Raw genomic sequence first — 9,919 nt, 5'->3', positions numbered from 1 at the left:
GAGATAGAAAATTAAAGCAAGTTATCATGTCCTAGGACACAATTCATGTTTTTTTTGTTATTCATGTTCCCTGATTTCTCATACCTCAGAAGACATTTAGCCTAGGAGAAGGAATTGACTTTCTAGGAAGTATTATTTTTTAAAGTCAGCCTGCTTTTATCAGGATAATAAAATAATAAAAACAAGATAAATTGAACATAATGGATTTACAGCTTCTGCAATGAGTTTAGTTGCCAAGACAATCAACATGTGAGATCAATGAAGGGGACATGTTTTAATTTTATTATTTCTTATTAGTGTGCTGATATTAAAATTCAAACATGGATGTTTTGATTAATCAAGAAGCTGAATATGGATATCAACTATAAAAATAAATATTTTAAATAGAACACATTTATTCCAAAAGTCTATTGTTGAAATAAATTTTAAAAATCATTATTCATTATAGCACTTTTAAAAAGAAGACGTATTAAATATCATCTTTGTTCTGCAAAAGTAAATTAACTTTGTAAGATTAGGAACTAATTAGTGATAGAACTGGGCCTAAAACCCTGCTGGCCTCATTCAAATGCAGACTCTTTTTACAGCACCATGGTGTCTTCTAATCCCACTACCAAGTACACTGTGGTCAAAACACGTTAACTTCCTACTTCCAGGAGATGTTCATTTAGTGTAAATGAAACCAGCAGTGTTTCATTTTCATATTCCTCATTTTCTTTCTTTATCATAATTCCTTGTATGGAGCTATGGCTCTAATTTATTACATTATGAACCAGTTTTTGTTTGCTTAAATTTTTAGATAGCCTTATTAATGTCTTCATTCTATTTATATGTCTGATTTGTTCATTAAGAACTATTAAAGGGTGGATAGGTTTAAGTATTTGCCCATCATTGGCTGGTATTTTAAAATTTACTTCCGAAACAAAATCCACTTCTGAAATTCCCCTGTAACACTATAGATGCATGATTCTGTAAAATTTTCATTTTCTGCTATGCAAATAATTAACAGTAATAAAATCTAGTTTCAGTTTAGTTTATAACTGTCTCTTACATTAAATTTTCTAGGTTTGGGGATAAGGGTTTTGTCTGTGTTGTATTTGCATCTGTATGATGCTTTGATTGCTTTGATTAAAGCTTTTCAAGTATTGGGATTCAAAACTGTTATTTAAAAAAAATCAGTAGTCTGTATATTTCTACTTTTATTTCTATTAATAAAACAGACTGAATATACCTTGCCAATTTAAAGAAATTTCTTTGAGAAACAACTGACTGTTTTCCTTGATTTCAGGATTGAAAATACATGTATCTCTTACTGTTCCTTTTGTTTTTCTTGACATATCAGTTAAAAATCTTTGCTTTCATCCTCCTTTGTTTATTCTTTAAATCTATTTTCAGACGTTTCTCCTTTTCCTTTCTGTTGTTTGGTCTCTTCTCTGTCTTGCTCTTCCCTATTCAGACACATCCTCTCTCTCCCCTTTCCATTTGCCTTGACTAGACTAACACATATTAATGAATATCCACAAAGGGACAAAAAGAGGCTGGAGGAGCAGGGTGAGGTGGAGAAGCGAGGTGCTAGCAAAATCAAATCTGAAATAAAGGATGAGAAGAGTGTAGATGGAAAAAATGGGGAAGAAAAGATGAAACAATGGAAAAGTGTAATTTTCATAACTTAAAACTTCAAAGTATATATGTATGACTTTTTTCGTCTTCATGAGATTGATTTGTTCATTCATTCAACATTTAATAAATATATAACAAGCACCCAGTGTGGGCCAGCTGTAGTCAAATTGCTGGGAAGATAGCAATTAAAAACAAGCTAACAAGCCAAAACCAGCCTTCATGGAGCCTATATTCTGTAAGGTAAAGCTGTCATTTTAAAATGGTGCTTTATATTGCTTGTGAATATTCTTGTTTCAGAAGTGAGAGCAAAAGGAACAGATTTTTCAAAGAAAATTATGTCTTGCATATATTAAATTTGTCTGACTAGGAAGAGTTATGTCAGTAAAGCAATTAGATACATGGGTTGTGATTTGGGGAAAAAAGCTGAATTAGAAATCTGTACTTGTAAATCATCAACAAGTATGTAATCATTGGTGATGTTGATACTGATGAAATCAACCTAAAGGTGGAACAAAAAGGACCAAAAATAGTGACTTAAAAAAACAATTTAGAAAAAATCTCAGAACACGAAACAGAATGTTAAATTGTCACAGGAGAGAGCTTATGCCCTTGAATCAAGGGAAAATAGAGTTCACAAGGAGCCAGCGGCCGGCAGCATCACACTTTTATGACAGACCTGGAAGGTAAGGTCAAGGGTGACTTTGGTGGGAGTATTATCAGTGAAACTATTGAGGAAATCATTTCTGCTTTATCTCTGTAGTGCATGCCTCATTAAATACATTATTAAAGCTTTAAGATGAATTTTATTAATTGGCATGTCACATCCAATGAAAAGGATGCTAGTTTTTTGTGTTGTTTGATCTTTCATAAGGATTTGAACAGTCATATGTATCAAGGGTAAAAAACAAAAACAACAACAAAAAAAAGAACAGAGGGAGAAATAGAAAAACAAAGGAAAACAAACAAACACCGAGATTATAGGCTAAAGGAAAATTCACAGAGGGAGGTCAATTGGGGGAGGGAATGCCGTCCAGCAAGTGGCTGGAAAGGTTAATAAACACTTTCAAAGAAGACCACAGATATTTTTCTTTCTCTTTAAAGAATAAAGTTTAGCCTTGTTCCTCGAACTCAAAGAAAGAAAGTTTGGGTAAGTCTCATTTTGTGTGTGCTCGGTTTTACACTTCTGTTGGAGAAAGAATTGTGGTGAAATTAGTCTGGAGGTTTTGTGCAGAATGGATTAGAGAGTGAGACTGGAGGTGGATGATGATAGAGGCCAGACCAAGGGAAAAGCCATAGAATGAAAGGGTGCAACTGACTCAAGGGAACATGGACAAGAAGAACTGATAAGGCACACATATCATATTAGTTCTGAGGGAGAAGGGAACGTCTAGACTCAAGCTGCTTTCATGTGCTTGAGTGATAAAGAGAATAGAGAAACAGGAATGGCAGGAGAAGGTGCTGGGTAAAGGAAAAAATGTCTTATTTTAGACATTTTGAGTTTGAAGTGACATTAAGACACCATATGGGGATGAAAATAGACAATCAGAAGTGAGGGACTGAAATAAGTAGAGAGGGCAAAGGTTCAGCACGGGAGCTTTGTAGATGCCCAAATTGATGTAATTGGAGGGAGGAGAGTCAGGAAAAGGGAGAGAAGAAGGGTAATTTGGATCAAATGCTACCTGCCAACTGAATACTGCTATTCATTTTTCAAAAAAAAAAAAACAAAACAAAAAACCTTTCCTGACCTTCAAAAAAGATGGTGTTATTTGTAAGTGTCTCTACCTGAGATTTTAAACATTCTCAATTCATGGTGTTTGTAGTGTCCCAGTAATTTCTCCTCATGGTGTCTCCAAGTCAAAAGAAACACCTAGCACTTTTAAGTTAATGGATGTCACTGTGTTTTCTGTTGAAAGTTTAAAATATCCAGCAATATCCTGTGAGTTTGCTGCCACTCTGTGAGATGCCTTGGGTCACAGCTTGGAAACTATAGGTTTATGCGATGCTCTCTCATATTTTTTTTTCTTTTTTCTCTATCGAAGTGTTTATGGCACTCTATTATAATTGCTTCTGTAATTATCTGTCTTTCTGATTGGACTGAGTCTGCAAACTACACAAGGAAAGAACCATTTCCATCTTGTTCCTCATTGAATCCGCCTTGCCCAGCCATGGTGATTGGCTTGTGGCACGTGTTCTGTAACTAGCTGTTGAATTAATCCCAGTTATGAGGGGAGTAATCTTATTTGTCTTTATATACAGTGCTGATTTATCTGCATCTATTTTTCAAACCCTAGATTATTTTCTGGCATATGTCTTTTAGTAGAATTATTCTAATGATCTATGTGAAATCTGTTGACAACATATGAGTAGTATGAATGCAAATGCTAAAAAAGGGGTTTCTTCTTTAGTTCTGCCTAAGAGGGGAAAGGGTTTAAAAGAATAATCAGTTTGGGTAACTGTTAAGGGTGATTTAGAGGAGATGAGAATAATAACTATAACAATAGTTAATGTTAATATAATGTGGTTACTAATTCTATTCTCCCAACAGCTGTAGGAGGCATGATGCATAACAAAATACCACAAAGTTAGTAGCTTAAGACATTAATTTATTATTTTTCACAGTTATGTGGGTTGTCTGATTCATTCTTCTGTTCTATGTGATGCTGGCTGCAAGATGCTGGGACATCTGCAGTCTCCTCAGAGCTTGATTGGGCTGGAATGTCTAAGAGGGCTCAATTGATGCTGGGTGATGGCTGTGAGCTTAGCTGAGACTCCGCGCCAGAATTCCCAGGTGTGGCCTCTGCGTGGAATTTGAACTTTTCATAGCATGGCGATTGGACTTGGTCAGGGGACATCCCCAGAGCAAGTGATCTTAGAGATTAAGGCAACAGTCGCAAGGTTTCTTATGATCTAGCTTCGGAAATGGGAGAAATTCACTTCTGTTACATTGTACTTGCAAAGCCAAGTCACTCAAGCTAGCCCAGCTTCAAGGAGGGGGAATTAGATTCTATGTTTCCATGTAATAGGCAGCATGCACATACAGAAAGGGGATGAATTGAGATCTTTGACTATTACCAAATGTAGGTACTATTACTTTTCTTACTAGGATTGAGGCAATTGATTTATACAGAGGCTATTAACTTAATTTGATAGTGGATAAGTGCAATGGCCAGTACTAGTACTTAGAGAATTTGCTCCCAAGAGTTTGTGTCTTTAATCACAACCAAGTATTGCCTCAGCCTCTAGCAATACTGTTCATTCTCATATATGATTACACAAACACACACACACACATACACACACACACTTAGCATATTTAGAGGTCATGATGCTAATGATGATATTGACTATAATCATCATAATTTGTTTTTGACGAGTTCATTATAATTCACATTCATTATTTTATTTACTCATGAGATGAATTTCTCCTTCAATTGTTTAATTTTGAAATAATTTTACATTTACAAAAGCATTGCAAAGATAGTACAGAAACTTGGATTATACACTTAAACCAGCTTCCTCTGAATGTTTACATAACCATCATACATTAATCAAAATTAATACATTAACATAGATATAATAATCTCCAATTAACTACAGACTTTACTTGGATTTGCTAATGTTACCTACTAATTATCTGCTAATGTCACTTAATGTTCTAGGATACAATCCAAGAAACTATTGTTGCGTTAGTTTCCTACAAGCTGTGACAGTGTTTCCATATTTCTTTGTTTTACATGACCTGACACTTTTGAAGAATACTAGTCATGTATTTTGTAGAATTGCCCTCATTTTGTGTTTGTCTGATATTCTCTCATGATTAGAATGGGATTATAGATTTGGGGGAAGACTAGGACAAAAGTGATGTGCCTCTCTCATCACTTCATATCCAGAAGCACATATTATCCACCTTATTTATTACTGGGAATATTAATATTGATCACTTGGCTAAGGTGTTTTCTACTAGGTTACTTCACTTTGAAGTTACTATTTTTCCCGTTTCAAACTATGTATGTTAAAAAAGTGAGACATTCTGTCTATACTATACTTTTAAAGAGAGGTGATAAGCTCCACTTCCTAGAAGAAGGGATATCAAAAAATTTGTGGACATATGTTAATACTACCATTGTAATTGGTAGATATTTCAGAGAGATACTCTGAGGCTATGCAAATAGAATGATTCTCATAAAATGAATTTGAGTCTTTATTTTTCTCCTCTGATTTGAAGTTTTTGTTGCAAAATTTATTTTTCTATTTTTTTGTCTGTAAATATTGTGATATAATGTGACAAAATTGAAATCCATAAAATATTGCCAATAATTCTTATCAATCTATATAAATTCAAATACAATCCATTTCCCAATTAAAGTATAAAACATTTAAATGAGACAATTCATTTATTCCATTTACTAGCTCTGCCTTAAGGAATTGAATCAAAGTATGCATTCATTTTATTTAATTATATCAAAGCATATAATTTGGCACAAATAAATAATAGGCTTTAATATTATGCTTTGAAAATTTTGCATTGTTTTAAGTTGTATGTTAAGCTCCTTTCATATTATTTAACTTGGTATTCCACAAATACTGAATTTCCTCACTAATTTAATTTATGAAATATTGAAGTCAAAAGGATTAAAAGAATTTCTGATGAAAATGGAGAAAAATATAACATCATGAATAATTCACAATTGTTCTATTCCTTTATCCATTATTTTTAAAAAAATTATTGGCAAAATTAATGTGACTTAATAGGAAACAAATTCTATTAGAGTTAAGTTTCTTATGTAGATGAAAATAGGGTGACAAGGCAGTGCCTGATTATTTAATAATTTATGTTTATGTTTAGAATCCTTACTATTATGACAAAGGCAAAAAATTTTTTAAATTACTTTTTTAAAAAAGTTAATTCAAAACATTTCTCATTTTGATAAATAAAACAAGGTCACAAGCAAATTAAATAAACTGTCATTAAACTAGAACATTTTGAAAATAATTTAATAGCATTACTTTATGAGTTTTGCTCCATCATTGCTAATAACTTACAACAATAAATTTTTTTTCAGATTTCTAGTACAGATATGGATATTACCATGTCTGTGTTAATTTTACTCAGTGTATTGACAACAAAATCTTAAATATTTATTTTAAAATGATGGTATATAAAGAGTATTTTAGTAGTTCAAACGGTAACATCGTGTATTAAAGAAAGAAATGAGAATAATTATTTTCACTACTTAATTTTGACATTTATTTATTAATAAGTTCTATTTCTTAAGCTATGTCCAATAAATAAGGTAATTTATACTACTTATGGAATGTAAGTAGTTTAAATGTATAAGGTAGTAACAACTTATCTGTAATTTCCATGACTTGTGTTTCTACTAGTTAATCGGATGTAATAAACTGACATAAACTGGAGAGTATAGCTGCATTTGAGTTTTATTAATTTGCCGCATTGTATTAAAAAGGACCATCAAGAAAACAATGATGAACAAAGTATTATTTCCATCTTTGAAAAACATATTAGAGATATGTAAGGGGAGGAAGACATGACATAGCACCTTTACCTTACAGGGCTGGGTATAATTTCCTTTGTATTCTTTCAGTTGAGATTTTAGAGAGATTCTGCATAAGGGTGACTTTTTTGTAGGAACCTTCAAGGATGATTAAGATTTTGAAGGGTGAAAGTAGATGACGTGATATTCCATAATGAAAAATAGCCCCAGCAAAAGCCTAGGTGGGTGAGGGAAAAAAATCGTTGAGAAACACAGAGATATTCTCCTTGTTTATCCTAGAGTATATGGAAGAATGGTCTGTGAAATAAAATTGGGGTTAGATAATGGGAAAATTTTAGCCTAAACTTTTTAGAGTTTAGCAGAAAACTGATAATAATAACAATGCTGTGATTATTATAGCCAGCACTTACAGAGCCTTACCATGATTCAGTCTTGCAAGAATCCAATGAGATAGACACCATTATTATTTTTACATTTTATGGTTGAGAAACCTGAGGTTTCAAGATATTTTAGGACTCACCCTTTCTGCTCATGATCACTGTGCTAGATGACCTTTGAATCTTTATGAAAATGTGTTATATTATAAAACCACGCTTTAAAAAGGGATCCAGAAATGTATACTGGAGGAAATATTTGTGGTAACTGAATATTATAATGAAGGTCTCATGAGTATACATTCAAAGGTAAACTTTTAGACAGGACATTTGCACAGGACATTGGCACAGGAGAGTCATCCCAATGGCCATGTTATATAGCACACCCAAAGTTCCACAGCCTTTAGAAATGTGAAATAAATCTCAAATGAATGATCAAGATTGTGAACTTTTAAAATGTGAATAATCTGCATAGAGACACTAGTTAAAGGTTTCAAGTGCAGGAAATCAGAGGCAAAAAGAAAGCATTGAGGTAATGACCGAATGAAGTGAATGCCCATAGTTAGAAGGCAAAGGAAGGAAAAGAGCAAAAGTATCAGAGAACTGTATGGAAGATCACTTGGTGCTGTGAAGTAGAAGTTCAAAAAGGAAGGGGTTTTAGGAAGCTTGACATGGTTGAAGTTGAGAGGGAATTTCAGATCCAGAAGTAGGGATGTCATTAATGATACATGAAATCTGTTTCCTTCTCTGGCTGCCTCTTTTTTGGTCAATGCTACAACAGAAGAGCTCTGGGCGCCCCTCCCTGACACCCCCTTCCCTTCATTTCTTCAGGGCATCCAAACAGACCACCTGGGATTCCTCAGTCCGCTTGGGCCTCTGATAGAAGCATTTGTGTGCTTGTATGATCTTATTTTCGCACGGTGGGTGTTGTTTGAGTCGTGTTATTAAAACCAAAGAAATTAATGTGAACGTTATCTTTTTTGTTCTATTTTTTTTTTATTACTGTGCCTGAGGCCCTTTGCTGCATTTATAGGCTGCTTTTATTCATCTCTGAGTTATTTGGTCTTGTTGGTGATGAACTATGTATTTCATTTCCTGCCTCTCCTGATACCTTGCCCTTCTAATTGATGGATCATATACTTTCTAAGGCTCCTAAATTCCTCCACCACAAGTTTATCTTTTCTACACCTTTTATCATTTAACCTGACTAATCTGAGTAGACAGAATTCAGGATTTGGCTTAATCCTACCATTAGGAAGTTTCTATATTCATCCAATAAAATATAATATTATTATAGATGGGTGATCACAAATTCACTTATTTTGGAGATAGAGAACACACTGGGGACTGATTGTTAAATTAGTTTTCTTGCTTCTCTAAAGCACTGTAGTGTCCAGATATTTTAGGTATTATTCAGAAAACACTGGCTAATTTGTGTAGTGGAAATTCAAATTGTCATAAACATTAAGATACATTTTAAAATAAGTTACATGGTTATTGAGACACATGAAATCATTAAGCGAAAACTATAAAATAGGTAAATATAGGTTTGAATATGCATGTGTTGAATGTGACGCACTGTGTTATGCTATTTAAGTCTCTCCATAACTGCATGATAGCCGTTCATGAATTCCACAGATATTTATTGAGTGTCTACTCTGTGCCAAGCACTTGGGATGAACAGAAGAGACAGAAAACTGTGCTCTTGTACAGATGCACTTCCTTTTGCAGAGCAAGAAATCAGAAGTTCATGCAAGTGATTTATTAAAAGTTGATGCCTGGGCCTGGCATAGTGGCTCATGCCTGTAATCCCAGCACTTTGAGAGGCCGAGGCAGGTGGATCACCTGAGGTCAGGAGTTCCAGACCAGCCTGGCCAATATGGAAAAACCCCATCTGTACTAAAAATACAAAAATCAGCTGGGCGTGGGGGCAGGCACATGTAATCCCAGCTACTTGGGAGGCTGAGGCAAGAGAATCCCTTGAACCTGGGAGGCGGAGGTTGCAGTGAGCCGAGATCACGCCACGCCACTTCACTCCAGCCTGGGCAACAGAGCAAGACTCCATTTCAAAAAAAAAAAAAAGTTAACACATGAATTAAAATACTAATTTTTTCTGACTTTAAACTATTTTTTTTTCACTGAGCATACTGCTACCTCCGAGTTACTGTAAATTATTATAGTTATATTACCCTTTTCAAAATGAATACATGTGTATTATCTTCTCTGGACAAAGTCATTCTTTTCATAAAGCACATTAATTTTGAACTTATAGTTATTATTCTCTTATCTCCTTTTAAAATTTTACCCTCATATTTCCTTACTCAGGATATATGTAGTGCTAACCTTTTAGCTAACAATCACGCTACCAACAGGTGGGTGTATCTGTTGCCAAAGGGAAAAACTAAGTGC

The 9,919-nt window shown here is 34.0% G+C and overlaps 1 protein-coding gene across 7 annotated transcripts in view; it reads left to right on the top strand.

Annotated features, from left to right (window-relative positions):
• Positions 1-9,919, top strand: part of GPM6A (glycoprotein M6A) — a 369,457-nt gene that overhangs the window by 212,755 nt on the left and 146,783 nt on the right. Inside the window, exon 1 of one of the 7 annotated variants that reach the window (NM_001261448.2) lies at positions 2,250-2,303. The exons of the other annotated variants lie outside the window; for them this stretch is intronic. Within the exon in view, the coding sequence (NP_001248377.1) occupies positions 2,288-2,303 (16 nt within the window). The 5' untranslated portion in view covers positions 2,250-2,287. Of the gene's footprint in view, positions 1-2,249; positions 2,304-9,919 lie in introns of those variants that run through there. 7 annotated transcript variants of the gene reach the window in all.

This window comes from Homo sapiens, chromosome 4 (genome assembly GCF_000001405.40).
Source record: "Homo sapiens chromosome 4, GRCh38.p14 Primary Assembly".
Classification (NCBI taxonomy): Eukaryota; Metazoa; Chordata; class Mammalia; order Primates; family Hominidae; genus Homo; species Homo sapiens.
This window is presented reverse-complemented; position numbering and strand designations above follow the sequence as displayed.